This window comes from Homo sapiens, chromosome 11 (genome assembly GCF_000001405.40).
Source record: "Homo sapiens chromosome 11, GRCh38.p14 Primary Assembly".
In the NCBI taxonomy this organism is placed as follows: Eukaryota; Metazoa; Chordata; class Mammalia; order Primates; family Hominidae; genus Homo; species Homo sapiens.
This window is the reverse complement of record NC_000011.10, coordinates 117116864-117132021: the sequence shown is the minus strand read 5'-3', so window position 1 is coordinate 117132021 and position 15158 is coordinate 117116864. Positions and strand designations below refer to the sequence as shown.

The window sequence follows — 15158 nt, the reverse complement described above, 5'->3', positions numbered from 1 at the left end:
AATATACACCCTTTTCCTGGGCATGGTGGCTCGTTCCTGTAATCCCAGCACTTTGACAGAGTTTGAGACCAGCCTGGCCAACTTGGTGAGACCCCATCTCTACTAAAAATACGAAAAATTAGCCAGGTGTGGTGGCACGCACCTATAATCCCAGCTACTCAGGAGGCTAAGGCAGCAGAATCTCTAGAACCTGGGAGGCGAGGTTGCAGTGAGCCGAGATCACCCCACTGTACTCCAGCCTGGGCAACAGAGCAAGACTCTGTCTCAAAAATAAAAACAAAAACAAAACATACAACCGTTGTAGTTATCTGGGTCTCTCTTACTGGTTAAGTGCTTTGCTTTTGTTGTACAACAACCTTGAAGATAGTTTCATTCAAATTTGTGCCTCATTAAACAAACAAATCCTGTCTGGGTGCGGTGGCTCATGCCTGTAATCCCAGCACTTTGGGAGGCTGAGGCGGGTGGATCACAAGGTCAGGAGTTCGAGACCAGCCTGGCCAACATAGTGAAACCCCCGTCTCTACTAAAAAAAAAAAAAAAAATTAGCTGGGCATGGTGGCGGGTGCCTGTAATCCCAGCCACTCAGGAGGCTGAGGCAGGAGAATCGCTTGAACCCTGGAGGCAGAGATTGCAGGGAGCCAAGATTGCGCCACTGCACTCCAGCCCAGGTGACAGTGCGAGACTCCGTCTCAAAAAAAAAAAAATCATACAAATCCATTTAATAAGCCTTTTCAGGGTCTTTCTCAAGATAAAAATCCTGATTTCTGAATTCCAAGAGTCCACTGGTGTTTCTATTATAATGTCCATCTCTCTCTTTGAATTAATTACAAGTCTCTTTCCCTGACTAAATATGAATTATTCTATGGCAAGCGTCTTATACCTCTTCGTAGCCTCAGTGCCAGGGAATGCCTGGCACAACAAATATTTCTTGGTAAATGTTTAATGGATGAGTAAAGTCAAGGTTAATTTTTTTTTTTTTGAGACAGAATTTTGCTTTTGTCGCCCAGGCTGGAGGACAATGACGCCATCTCAGCTCCCCGCAACCTCTCCCTCCCGGGTTCAAGCAATTCTCCTGCTTCAGCCTCCTGAATAGCTGGGGTTACAGGCGCCTGCCACCACACCCAGCTAATTTTTGTATTTTTAGTAGAGACGGGGTTTCACTATGTTGGCCAGGCTGGTCTCCAACTCCTGACCTCAGGTGATCCACCCGCCTCGGCCTCCCAAAGTGCTAGGATAACAGGTGTGAGCCACTGCGCCCGGCTTTTTTTTTTTTTTTTTTTTTTTGAGACAGAGTCATGCTCTGTCACTCAGGCTGGAGTGTAGTGGTGTGATCTCAGCTCACTGCAACCTCTGCCTCCCAGTCTCAAGCGATTCTCCTGCCTCAGCATCCGAGTAGCTGGGATTACAGGTGTGTGCCACTACGCCTGGCTGATTTTGGTATTTTTAATAGAGACAGCATTTCACTGTGTTGGCCAGGCTGGTCTCGAACTCCTGACCTCAAGTGGTCTACTCACCTCAGCCTCTTAAAGTGCTGGGATTGCAGGCCTGAGCCATTATGCCCTGCCTAGCCGTCTTCTTTCAGAAGAGATTTGCTCACATTGGCATTTCTTTTTTTTCTTTTTCTTTTTCTTTTTTTTTTGAGACAGAGTTTCAGCTTTGTCACCCAGGCTGGAGCGCAGTGCCACGATCTAGGCTCACTGCAACCTCCACCTCCCGGGTTCAAGTGATTCTCCTGCCTCAGCCTCCCGAGTAGCTGGGACTACAGGTGCCTGCCACCACGCCCGGCTAATTTTTTGTATTTTTAGTAGAGAGAGAGTTTCACCATGTTAGCCAGGGTGGTCTCGATCTCCTGACCTCGTGATCCACCTGCCTCGGCCCCCCAAAGTGCTGGGATTACAGGCATGAGCCACCACGCCCAGCCAGGAGGATCTCTTAAGGCCAAGAGTTTGAGACCATCCTGGGCAACATAGAAAGACCCTATCTCTACAAAAAAACAAACAAATAAAAATTATCCAGGCATAGTGGTGCAGGCTTGTCATCGCAACTAATGGAGAGGCTGAAGCAGGAGAGTTGCTTGAGCCCAGGAGTTCGAGGTTACAAATAATCTTGCCACCACACTCCAGTTTGGGCGAAAGAGCAGGACCTTGTCTCTGAAAAATAATAATAAAAAGAATAAGAAAAAAAAGAGATGTTGGTTAATGGATACAAAAATACAGTAAAATACAGTTAGAATAAGTTCTAGTGTTTGATAGCAAAGTAGGGTGACTATAGTAAACAATAACTTATTGCATATTTCAAAATAGCTGGAAGATTTGGAATATTCCCAACACAAAGAAATGATAAGTATTTGTGGTGATGGATACCCGAATTACCCTGATTTGATTATTACATATTGTATGCATGTATCAAAATGTCAGATGTATCCCATAAATATGTGCAATTGTTATGTGCCAATAAAACAAGAATTGGCCGCTGGGCACCATGACTCACACCTGTAATCCCAGCACACTGGGAGGCCGAGGCAGGCGGATCACGAGGTCAGGAGTTCGAGACCAGCATGGCCAATATGGTGAAACTCTGTCTCTACTAAAAATACAAAAATTAGCCGGGCATGGTGGTGCATGCCTGTAGTCCCAGCTACTCAGGAGGCTGAGGCAGAAGAATCGCTCCAACCCATGAGGCGGAGGTTGCAGTGAGTTGATATCGTGCCGCTGCACTCCAGCCTGGGTGACGGAGCGAGACTCCATCTCAAAAAAAAAAAAAAAAAAAGAATTGGCCTTATAATTAGATCAAAGCCTTTATGATTTGAAGGGCATTAAGGCAGTATCTACAGCACTCAGAAGCCTGCCATTCACCTTTATAGGTGTAGAGGAGGGTTGGTACTTGAAGCCCAGGTGGGACTCTGATTTTTCCTTCTTCACTGTTTCTAGAGTCTCTAGCCCAGAGTGTAGCTAAATCATAGCAACAGATAGAATGCACTAACATCCTGCCAATAACTGCTTTTTTTTTTTTTTTAAGACGGAGTTTCACTCTTGTTACCCAGGCTGGAGTGTATTGGTACTATCTTGGCTCACTGCAACCTCTGCCTCCCAGGTTCAAGTGATTCTCCTGCCTCAGCCTCCCAAGCAGCTGGGATTGCAGGCACCCGCTGCCATGCCTGGCTAATTTTTGTATTTTTGGTAGAGATGGGGTTTCGCCATGTTGGCCAGGCTGGTCTTGAACTCCTGACTCAGGTGATCCACCCACCTCAGCCTCCCAAAGTACTGGGGGTGTGAGCCACCACACCTGGCCGATGCTGCTTTTTCACTCTTGCTCTAGCTATAGTCAAATCTTCCCCCAATCTTAGAAGTGGTGGATGGGAATGACACGTTGGGAATAGGAAAGGAGTTTATCAGTGAAAGGACTGGCATTCCAGGGGACAGTCACATCTTCAGGCTCCTTCTTTTTATGAATTTCCAAGCTTTCTTTCAATCATTTCAGTCAGGGTGACATAGGCTCTAAAGGTGAGGTTGAATAAGTTGCTTGCAGACTCTTGATAGTAGTGGAAAGAAGAGTAAATAAGGCTGCTGTTGCCCATGCCTCAACTCAGGCGTATTGAATTAGAATGCCTCAGGCAATGTCTCCAGATGATGACTATGGCCACTAAAGATTAAGAACTGGGCCAGGCACGGTGGCTCATGCCTGTAATCTCAGCACCTTGGGAGGCCAAGGTAGGCGGATCACAAGGTCAGGAGATCGAGACCATCCTGGACAAGAAGGTGAAACCCTGTCTCTGTTAAAAATACAAAAATTAGCTGAGCGTGGCAGCGCATGCCTGTAATCCCATCTACTCTAGAGGCTGAGGCAGGAGAATCGCTTAAACCCAGGAGGCGGAGGTTGCAGTGAGCCGAGATCATGCCACTGCACTCCAGCCTGGCTACAGAGCGAGACTCCGTCTCAAAAAAAAAAAAAAAAAAAAAAATTAAGAACTGATTTATACCAACTCTCTTTGCTTACATTCATGGAGCAAGCTTATAGACCTGGCAACTTTTGCCTTCGTTAAATTTCATTTGATTTATTTATCACTTAGCTAGATTGCTGATGATGTTTCTCTCTCAAAACAGGAGCGTGAAATGCTTTACACCTTAGGAAATATTAAGGGACATTCCGTTTACAGTTCATTGAGTAGTCATCTTTAAAATGAATTCAGAATAAGGAACAGTCAGTCTTTCTCCCTACCCCCTACCTTCATCCCCAATATATTAAAGAGGCAAAAAGCACACCTGTCCCTTGTTTTCAGGGAAGCTAGAGTGTTGCCAATGGCAACCACCAGACCACTTGAGATTTACTGCTGCAGATTCCCTAAGCAACTTTGGAAACCATCTTTGCAGGTAATCTTCAGTGAGAAAAGGCTATGGATAAACTAGTTCTCTTGCATCCCCAGCTACCACCCGTTTCTGACTTTTCCTGTGTGGCATAGGAGACTCTGAACAGCCTGTTCACCAGGGGAAGAGTTAAGGATTCTGTCTCCACTGTGTCTCTGGGGAAAGGCAGAATATAGAGAAAGCTTTCTTTGGGAAAAGCAGAAGCAGCATCTGCTCTGGGTATAGGCAAATTGCAAGAACTACTTGCCAGGAAGAATTGCTGCCCAGCTCGTAGCCTGGCACGCTGGTGTTAAAAAGACTCTTTTCAAGCTCCATTGGCACTTCTGGGTATTACAGAATTCATAGTTGAATGTTCTCTGAGATCTGTGGAATAAGAAGCACCTTTCGACATTCAGACACACATGGCAAACGTATTAGGGTTCTCCAGAAAAACAGAACCAATAGGATATATGTAGATATATAGAAAGAATTTTATTGTGAGGCATTGGCTCATAAGATTATGAAGGCTGAGAAATCGACCATCTGCTATCTGCAAGTTGGAGGCCTAGGAAAGACAATGATGTAGCTCCACTCTAGGCCTGAAGGTCTGAGAACCAGGAGCATTGATGTCTGAGGGCAGGAGAAGATGAATGTCCTTGCTCAAGCAGAGAGAGCAAATTTGCCCTTCCTCTGCTTTTTTGGTTCTATTTGCCCCCTCGACCGGTTGGATGATGCCTGCCCACATTGGTGAAGATGGATTTTCTTTGTTCGGTCTACTGATTCCATTGCTAATCTCATCTGTAAACACCCTCACAGACACACCCAGAAGTCACATTTTACCAGCTATCTGGACATCCCTTAGCCCAATCAAGGTGACACATAAAATTAACCATCACAGAAAGCAACAAGAAATCAACTCCATGGTCCAGTTACCACTTCCTCTGTGACGTCAGTGATTTCAGTCTGCTGATATTTTTGTTATCTGAAATAACTCTGTCTTACATGAATATTTGCTGGCTTTTTAGGGTCCATCTTCTAATAGGAGCCTCCTTCCTCAATGTTCCTATCAAGTCCATGGGATATCCAACATCCTTCAGTCCCAAAATATCCACAGTGCTCTATCAAGAGCTGTGGATGCTCTGAGCTGTTAACACCGCCTCCCACCATACTAGCTGGCGTGGCAGTTTCTGCTGGGGATTGTCACAGCTCTGATGGGGACAATGCACACTGCTGTATTCGGTTATTGTGCTGTTGTCCTTGCTGGATACTGACAACTCTGTAGGCTGGCACTGCCATGACTCTGTTCCCTCTTGTGGGCACTCTGAGTCTTTTCAACTGCTCCATTGAGAGCCTTCTGGGTATTAAAGGAGTACCTGGGCTGTAGCATAAAATAATTTCCCTTGCTCTTTTGGATATACACTCAGAGAGAGGTCCCAAAACATGTTATTTGAGCCCTAGTGTGTTACAGAGACAGAGAAACAGCTCTTTCTGTTTTTGTTTTGAGACAGCGTCTCAATCTGTTGCCCAGGCTGGAGTGCAGTGGCGTGATCTCTGCTCACTGCAACCTCCACCTCCCGGGTTCAAGTGATTCTCGTGCCTCAGCGTCCCAAGTAGCTGGGACTACAGGCGCATGCCACCATGCCCAGCTAATTTTTGTATTTTTAGTAGAGATGATGTTTCACCGTGTTGGCCAGGCTGGTCTTGAACTACTGATATCAAGAGATCCGCCTGCCTTGGCCTCCCAAAGTGCTGGGATTACAGGCGTGAGCCACAGCACCTGATCCAAGAAACAGCTCTTTCAATGTCTAGACGAGACTTGTCTTTTCCACGTGCCCTGGATTTTCAGCTAAGGGGTCGAACTAGAGTTGCGTTTGAGTAACAATGACCACACCTCATTCTGATGACCAAGGCACTGGCTCTTGAAAAAGGCTATCATGCTTGGCTCCTTATTTCTCTAGAAGGAAGACTCTCAAATGAAGTGCCCAGCCTTCCTGCCAATAAACTTCCTTAGACCCATCCCACCAGCTAGCCAGACACACCTAGCCATACCTGAGTCATCTTCAACAGACAAGATGAGAGCTCTGATCCAACCCTGTGCAGCCATGTGCTATCTTAAAGGTTTTTCATGTTTGTAAACTTTATTTATCCTATAGGATCATAAGACACTTGAGATCCGAGGCCATGTTTTCCACTTCTTTTATATCTGTAACATTAGTGTAGCCCCAGAACTATCCTACCGTGAAGCAAAACAAACCTAAGTAACCCTTTATAATTTAAAAAGTACTTTTGTAAGTATTGTCTCATTTAGTTTTTATAACAACTTTATTAGTTAGGTTATTATTATCTTCACCTTGCAGATGAGATCATTCAAGCTGTCCAAGGTCACCAACCACTTGGTTGCGGAGCTGAGCCTTGAATCACCATTAACTCACTCAATGTTCAGGTCTCTTTCCATTACTCCACTGCTGTCAGCTTCAGGAACCAGCTATAATGCTTATACTCTAAAGCTAGCTGCTACCTTCCCTCTCTTCCCTCCTCATCTCCCAGATCTCAGCAGGAAATGTGAAAGACGACTGAGAACAATTCATTTTTATTTCTTTTCTTTTTTTTTTTTTTAAGACGGAGTCTCACTCTGCTGCCCAGGCTGGAGAGCAATGGCATGATCTCTGCTCATTGCAACCTCTACCTCCTGGGTTCAACAATTCTCCTGCCTCAGCCTCCCCAGTAGCTGGGATTATAGGTGCCCACCACCATGCCCAGCCAATTTTTATATTTTTAGTGGAGACGGGGTTTTGCCATTTTGGCCAGGCTGCTCTCGAACTCCTGACCTCAGGTGATCCACCTGCCGTGGCCTCCCAAAGTGCTGGGATTACAGGCATAAGCCACTGCGCCCAGCCAATTCATTTTTATTTCATCCTCATTCTTTCCTTTTTCAACTTGCCCTCTTGTATGTGGTGCCTTTTCCTGCTTGTACCTGAGATTGTCTTATGGTCTAAATATTTGTGACATCCCATGCCACCCAAAATTCATATATTGAAGCCTTAACCCTCAATGTAATGGTATAAGGAGATGGGGCTTTTCTTGGAGAGGTACTTAGGTTTAGATGAGGTCTTGAGAGTGGGGCCTTTATGATGTGATTAGTGTCCTTATAAGAAGAAGAGGAGAAACAAGAGCTCTTTTTCTCTGCCATGTGAAGATACAGCAAGATGCCTGTTGAGGGCCATCTGCAAGTCAGCAAGAAGGCCCTCACCAGGTAACTGAATTGGCCAGAACCATGACCTTGGACATCCCAGCTTCCAGAACTGTGAGAAATAAATTCCTGTTGTTTAAGTCCCCCCGTCTGTTGTATTTTGTTTTGGCCACCTCAGCTGACTAAGGCCTTGTTGCCCCTTCTTTTTTTTGCCTTGACTCCCAGATCTTTAGCCTGTCATAGTCAAAAAAAGGAGAGGATTCCTTGTTGCTGCTTTGATCATCTGGTTTCTAGGCATTTTTTTCCCACTTCCTTCTGGAAGGAAACAGTATAAAGGTAAGAGTGCTGAATTCATAAAGAGAAAGTTAGCTGATATAACTTCAGATTCCAACTCTGCTCTTTTTTGTGTGAGCTCAGAGAAGTCCTTTAATATCTGCAGCCTTCAGACTGGTAGTTTCATCTCTCTGAGGCTGTTTTCTCATCTGCAACGTAAAGGGATTGCAAAACATGATCCAGAACCTTTTCAGGTATAAAATGTTCTGGTTTTATTATTTTTATTTATTATCATCCTCATTATTATTATTATTATTTGAGATGGAGTCTCACTGTGTCACCAGGCTGCAGTGCAGTGCTGCCATCTCGGCTCACTGCAACCTCCACCTCTTGGGTTCAGGCAATTCTCCTGCCTCAGCCTCTCAAGTAGCTGGGATTACAGACACACCACCACACCCAGCTAATTTTTTTTGTATTTTTTAGTAGAGACAGGATTTCACCATGTTGGCCAGGCTGGTCTTGAACTCCTGACCTCAGGTGATCCACCTGCCTCTGCCCCCCAAACTGCTGGGGTTACAAGTGTGAGCTACCGCGCCCGGCCATGATTTTATTGTTTTTAATTGACATCCTGGGTTCCTCCTCTCTTGCTTTCAGTCTCTTAGCTACCTAACATCCCTCCTTATCAGCCACCAATTCATGTATTCAGTCTGTCTGTCTTCCTAAGTTTTGGTCGTATATTTCATATTCTCAGATACTAAAGCTAGGCACCCTAAAATACACAAAGCCTCCCTGGGAAAGGAAATTTTTGCTACAGAATCAGCTACAGCACAATATTGTCTTGGTAAGGTTTTTCTTTGGTGGTGGTTGTTTTTTAAGACTAACTTCTCAAAGACAGGGAGTTTATTTCAGTGACTCTAGTTCATTTACACAGTGTAGGAGGTACTTATGGCTTGTTGGTCTATGTAACTTGAAGTCAAGCAGTCTGTTTTGTTTTGTTTTAGGTCTTTCCTTTATTCCACTATTTTTGGTGCACTGTGCACAGCCATGCTGTACTGTCTTCTATGGAAACCCTACTAACCATTTGCCGTTATTATTTTAGCTTGGCTCCACCAGGGGTGGGAAGGTAAGGACAAACATATCATTCTAGGTTCTTCCCCAACTCATACTTCAAACCCCATTCTAGAAGAGATGTAATTAATCACCTCCCCTTAGGTCTGTCAGATACTCTGAACAGGTGATCTTGTAGCTGCATCTCTGAAGCTGTGAAACAGAGGCTTTAGCTGTATACATATTCAACTCTCCCTCTCCAAGTCAACAGAGTACGAAGTAAACACACAGTTGCTGAAAATAACTCAGCCCATGAGACCAGCTCCAAAATGCAACTGCAATTGACAAGCCTTGAGGTCTATCAACAAGGGATAGACAAGGAATAAACATACATGGCTACTGCCACAGAACCAGCTGGGCTGTTTATAACCACGAGGGATTCTTCAGGGACTCCAGGCTAGGACTGCAAGTGTTTTCAGGAATAAGTGGGATCAGCTGTATGGGCTATTTAAAGTATTGGATATGGGCTGGGCACATTGGCTCACTCCCGTAATCCCAGCACTTTGGGAGGCCGGGGTTGGGGCAGTGGGATGAAGGGTGGGGGGCGAGTGTGGATCACCTGAGGTCAGGAGTTTGAGACCAGCCTGGCCAACATGGCAAAACCCTGTCTCTACTAAAAATACAAAAAAAATTAGCTGGGTGTAGTGGTGCGCTCCTGTAGTCCCAGTGACTCAGGAGGCTGAGGCGGGAGAATCGCTTGAACCCGGGAGTCGGACATTGCAGTGAGCCAAGATTGCACCACTACACTCCAGCCTGGGTGACACAGTGAGGCTCCATCTCAAAAAATAAAAATAAAAATAAAATAAAATAAAATATTGAATATGGAGTGAGGCATGTATCTTTGAGTGCTCTTGCTCAGTAAAATTGCTAAATGGGGAGGAATTTTCTTTCTTTCTCCTGGAAAACCAACCTCGGATGGTTTCTAATACACTCCTCCATCCCTGTATTCTATGCTCTGTAAATGAAACTGATTCTACATGTCAGACAGTAGTGCAGATTTTAATTCTCCTCACTGGCTTCCCTTGGTGCTAGGATGAAACACTTGATTATATATATACATATATGTTGCCTAGGCTGGAGTGTGGTGACTGTTCACAGATGCTATTGTAGTGCACTGTGGCTTCAAGTGATCCGCCTGCCTCAGCATTTTGCGTAGCTGGGACTATAGGTGCACCACCATGCCTGGCTTTTTGCTCCCGCTTTATTGAACTCCCTTTAGCTGGGTTTCCATAGGTAAGGCAGAGAATTTCTTTTCTTTTTTTTTTTTTTTTAAAGAGCGTCTCGCTCTGTCACCAGGCTGGAGTGCAGTGGCGTGATCTCGGATCACTGCAACCTCTGCCTCCCGGGTTCAAACGATTCTCCTACCTCAGTCTCCTGAGTAGCTGGGACTACAGGTGCGTGCCACCACACCTGGCTAATTTTTTTTTTGTATTTTTAGTAGAGACTGGGTTTCACCATCTTGGCCAGGCTGGTCTCGAACTCCTGGCCTCAAGCAATTCACCCACCTCAGCCTTTCAAAGTGCTGGGATCACAGGCATTAAGCCATGGTGCCTGGCCTAAAGGAGAGAATTTCTTCCTGATGAATTTTTTAAATAAAAAATGTTAATACCTTTATTGAGATAGAATTCACATACCATAAAATTCATCCACTTAAGTGTACAATGTAATGGTTTTAGTATATTCCCAAACTGTGTAGTCATCACTATGTTCTAAATTTCCAACATTTTCATCACCCTAAATGAAATGCTATATCCATTAGTAATCATTCCCCATCCTCCCCTAGCCTTCAATCCTTCCAGCCCTAGGCAAACCCTAATCTACTTTCTGTTTTTATAGATTTGCCTATTCTGAACATGTCATATAAATAAAATCATACAAAATATGACTTTTGCATCAGGTTTCAGTCAACTGCAGTAACATTTTTAAGGTTCAGCCACATTATAGCATCAGTATTCATTTCTTTTTTCTTTTCTTTTTTTTTTTGGGACAGAGTCTCACTCTGTCACCCAGGCTGGAGTGCAGCAGCACGATCTCAGCTCACTGCAACCTCCACCTCCAGAGTTCAGGCGATTCTCCTGCCTCAGCCTCCCGAGTAGCTGGGATTACAGGTGTGCACCACCACACCCGGCTAATTTTTGCATTTTTGGTAGAGACAGGGTTTCACCATGTTGGCCAGGCTGGTCTCCAACTCCTGATCCACCTGCCTCGGCCTCTCAAAGTGCTGGGATTGCAGGCATGAGCCACTGCACCCAGCCCCCAGCATCGGTAATCATTTCTTTATTTTTTTTATTTATTATTTTTTTTTGGAAACAGAGTCTTGCTCTGTTGCCCAGGCTGGAGTGCAATGGCATGACCTCGGCTCAGTGCAACCTCTGCCTCCCATGTTCAAGCAATTCTCGTGCCTCAGCCTCCCAAGTAGCTGGGACTACAGGCACATGCCGCCTTGCCCAGATACTTTTTTGTGTTTTAGTAGAGACAGGGTTTCACCGTGTTGCCCAGGCTGGTTTTGAACTTTTGACCTCAGGTGATCCACCCGCCTTGGCCTCCCAAAGTGCTGGGATTACAGGCATGAGCCACGGCGCCTGGCCTTTTAAATTTTTTTGTTAGAGATAGTCTTACTTTGTTGTCCAGGTTGGTCTCAAACTCCTGGCCTCAAGCAATCCTCCGCCTTGGCCTCCCAAAATGCTAGGATTATAGGAGTAAGCCACCACACCTGGCCTTTGTTCTTCTTTTTTTTTTAATCTTTGTTTTATTTATTTATTTTTTTTAGATGGAGTTTCACTCTTGTTGCCCAGACTGGAATGCAATAGTGTGATCTTGGCTCACTGCAACCTCCATCTCCCAGGTTCAAGCGATTCTCCTGCCTCAGGCTCCTGAGTAGCTGGGATAACAGGCATGTGCCACCACACCAAGCCAATTTTTTGTTTAGTAGAGACAGAATTTCACCAGGTTGGCCAGGCTGGTCTCGAACTCTTGACCTCAGGTGATCCACCTGCCTCGGCCTCCCAAAGTGCTGGGATTACAGGTGTGAGCCACCGTGCCTGGCCTAATTTTTTGTTTGTTTCTTTTTTAAAGATTGTTTGAGCTAGTGTGGGTCCTTTATGTTTTCATATGATTTTTAGGATCAACTGGTCAATTTCTGCAAAAAAAGCCAATTAGAATTTTGCTAGGGATTGCATTGAATTTGTAGATCTATTTGAGGAGTACTGCCATATTAATATTATGTCTTTCAACCATGAACACAGGGTGTTTTTCCATTTATCTCGATCTTCTTTATTTAACAATGGTTTGTTCTGTTCAGTGTACAAGTTTTTTTTGTTTGTTTGTTTGTTTGTTTTGTTTTTGAGAGAGTCTCGCTCTTATTGTCCAGGCTGGAGTGCAATGGTGTGATCTCACTGTAACCTCCACCTCCCGGGTTCAAGTGATTCTCCCACCTCAGCCTCCCGAGTAGCTGGGATTACAGGCACACATCACCATGCCCAGCTAATTTTTGTATTTTTGGTAGAGACAGGGTTTCACCATGTTGGCCAGGATGGTCTCAATCTCTTGACCTCATGATCCTCCCGCCTCAGCCTCCCAAAGTGCTGGGATTACAGGCATGAGCCATTGTACCCAGCTGGACTTGTTTTCTTAATTTCATTCTCAGAATTTTCATTGCTTGCATATAGAAATTTTCATTGCTTGTATATAAAAATATAATTAATTTTTGTTACATTGGTCTTATAGCTTACAACTCTGCTGAACTTACTTATTAGTTCAAGTGGGTTTTTTTAGTGTATTCCTTAGGGTTTTTCACATATCAGATCACACAGGTTAAGGACGTGCATTGGCTGTGGCTGAGCGGGTTGCAGAAAACTGCTGCCTGCATGAAGAAAGTCTCCTCTGCCTTCCCTTTTCAGCTCATCACCAGCCCTGGAGCTCACCAGCATGTCTGTGGTACCTACCACCTAATCACTCGCAGACTAGCTGACCGCAGAGGGAGAGCCCGATCAGTTCAGCAACAAGTACAACCAGCAGACCAAGCCCCTCATCCTGGAGCACACCATCAAATTGTATCCTATTATCAATTATAGTTTTTTTGTTTTGTTTTGTTTTTTTGTTTTTTTTTTTTTTTGAGATAAAGTCTTGCTCTGTTGCCCAGGCTGGAATGCAGCGGCACAATTTCGGCTCACTACAACCTCCGCCTCCTGGGTTCAAGCGATTGTCCTGCCTCAGCCTTCCACCTAGCTGGAACTACAGGTGTGTGCCACCACACTCAGCTAATTTTTGTATTTTAGTAGAGATGGGGTTTCACCATGTTGACCAGGCTGGTCTTAAACTCCTGACCTCAAGTGGCCTCCCCACCTCCGCCTCCCAAAGTGCTGGGATTACAGGCGTGTGCCACTGTGCCTGGCCATCAATTATACTTTTGGTACAAAAGAGCCCCTCTATGAGAAAGACAGCTCTGTCTCATCCAGATTTCAGCAAATGAGGGAAGAATTGGATAAAATTGGAATGAGGAGTAACATAGCAGGGGATTCTGATTGTTTACAAGCACTGGTGTGGCTACTCTATGTATTACTGCTACTGCTGGGAGCAACTTTCTTCAAGTTGGTGAAGGCCAGGCGGTAGGTGAAGGCCAGGTTGGTGAAGGCCCTGGTGGTAGGCCAGGCACCGTGGCTCACATCTGTAATCCCAGCACTTTGGGAGGCCGGGGCAGGTGGATAGCTTGAGGTCAAGAGTTCGAGACCAGCCTGGCCAACATGGTGAAATCCCATCTCTAGTAAAAATACAAAATTAGCCGGGCGTGGTGGCATGTCCCTGTAATTCCAGCTACTCGGGAGGCTGAGGCAGCAGAATCGCTTGAACCTGGGAGGCAGAGGTTGCAGTGGCGGAGATTGCACAAATGCACTCCCTGGGTGACAGAGCGAGACTCTGTCTCAAAAAAAAAAGAAAAGAAAAAAAAAAAATATATATATATATATAACCTGATGGTGAACTTAGCCCAGGAAAAGGTGAAGTTGAAGGACTAAAATGCTTAATGACTGGGATACTGAGTCATCAAGATGGAGTTCTGAAAGATGCAAGACTGGGTCATACTGCATTGGTAACTGGTGGAGACCAAATATCCATATATTCCTGCATATATTACAAAGCCTAAGGAACATAAGAAGTTGTTTCTGGCTCAACTTCAAGAAAAAGCCTTGTTTGCAATCTCTAAAAATTACAAGCTCATAGCTACACCATTGTTTGAATTGTATAACAATGCACTAGGGTATGGACCTATTGTTTGCAGTCTCCCTCAGCTGTTGAGCAGTTTCAAATTTATATACAATGGAATTCCTGTGCAGTGGAGAAGTAAAAGAAGCCATTTCTGTGAACATAGCTATACAGTGTAGAAGAATAAATGTGATAGAAAAGATTTTTGGGCTGGGATCACACCTGTAGTCCCAGCACTTTGGGAGGCTGGGGCAGGATAACTGCTTGAGCCCAGGAGTTCTAGACCAGCCTGGGCAACAAAGTGAGACTCTGTCTCTACACACACCACACACACACACATTAGCCAAGTGTGGTGGTATGCACCTGTGGTCCCAGCTATTCAGGAGGCTGAGGCAGGAGAATTGATTGAACCCAGGTAGTTGAGGTTACAGTGAGCCATGTTCGTGCCACTGCACTCTAGCCTGGGTGACAGAGAGAGATGGTGTCTCAAAATAAGGTTTTTTGTTTTATTTCTTTCCTGATCCCTAAATTGACACCTATTTCCCTCCCTCCCTTCCTCCCTCTCTCTCTTTCTTTCTTTCCTTCTTTTTTTTTTAGACGGGGTCTTGCTCTGTCACCTAGGCTGGAGTGCAGTGGCACGATCTCAGCTCACTGCAACCCCCGCCTCCCGGGTTCAAGCGATTCTCGTGTCTCAGCCTCCCGAGTAGCTGGGACTACAGGCATCTGCCACCACACCCGGCCTGCCACCTATTCTCTATTGTTTAAATAGTAAAATTAATATAAAGAACTAGATAGTGGGGTAAAGAAATATGATAATGCTTATGTACTTTTGGTTCTACTTATACTTTTTTTGTACAACATTCAAGAAAATGGACTTCAATAATAATAGAAAGATCATGTCATATACAAATAGAGATAGTTTTATTTTTTTAGCTCCCATTTTGAATGCTTTTTTTTTTTTTTTGAGAGGTGGCTCACTGCCACCTCTGCTTCCTGGGCTCAAGGGATCCTCCCACCTCAGTTTCCCAAGTAGCTGGGACAACAGG

At 44.9% G+C, this 15158-nt stretch overlaps 1 pseudogene; it reads left to right on the top strand.

The window, feature by feature from the left end:
• Positions 1-5637: 5637 nt before the first annotated feature.
• LOC101060089 (cleavage and polyadenylation specificity factor subunit 5-like) lies at positions 5638-14291 on the top strand (annotated as a pseudogene).
• The last annotated feature ends 867 nt before the right edge of the window (positions 14292-15158 follow it).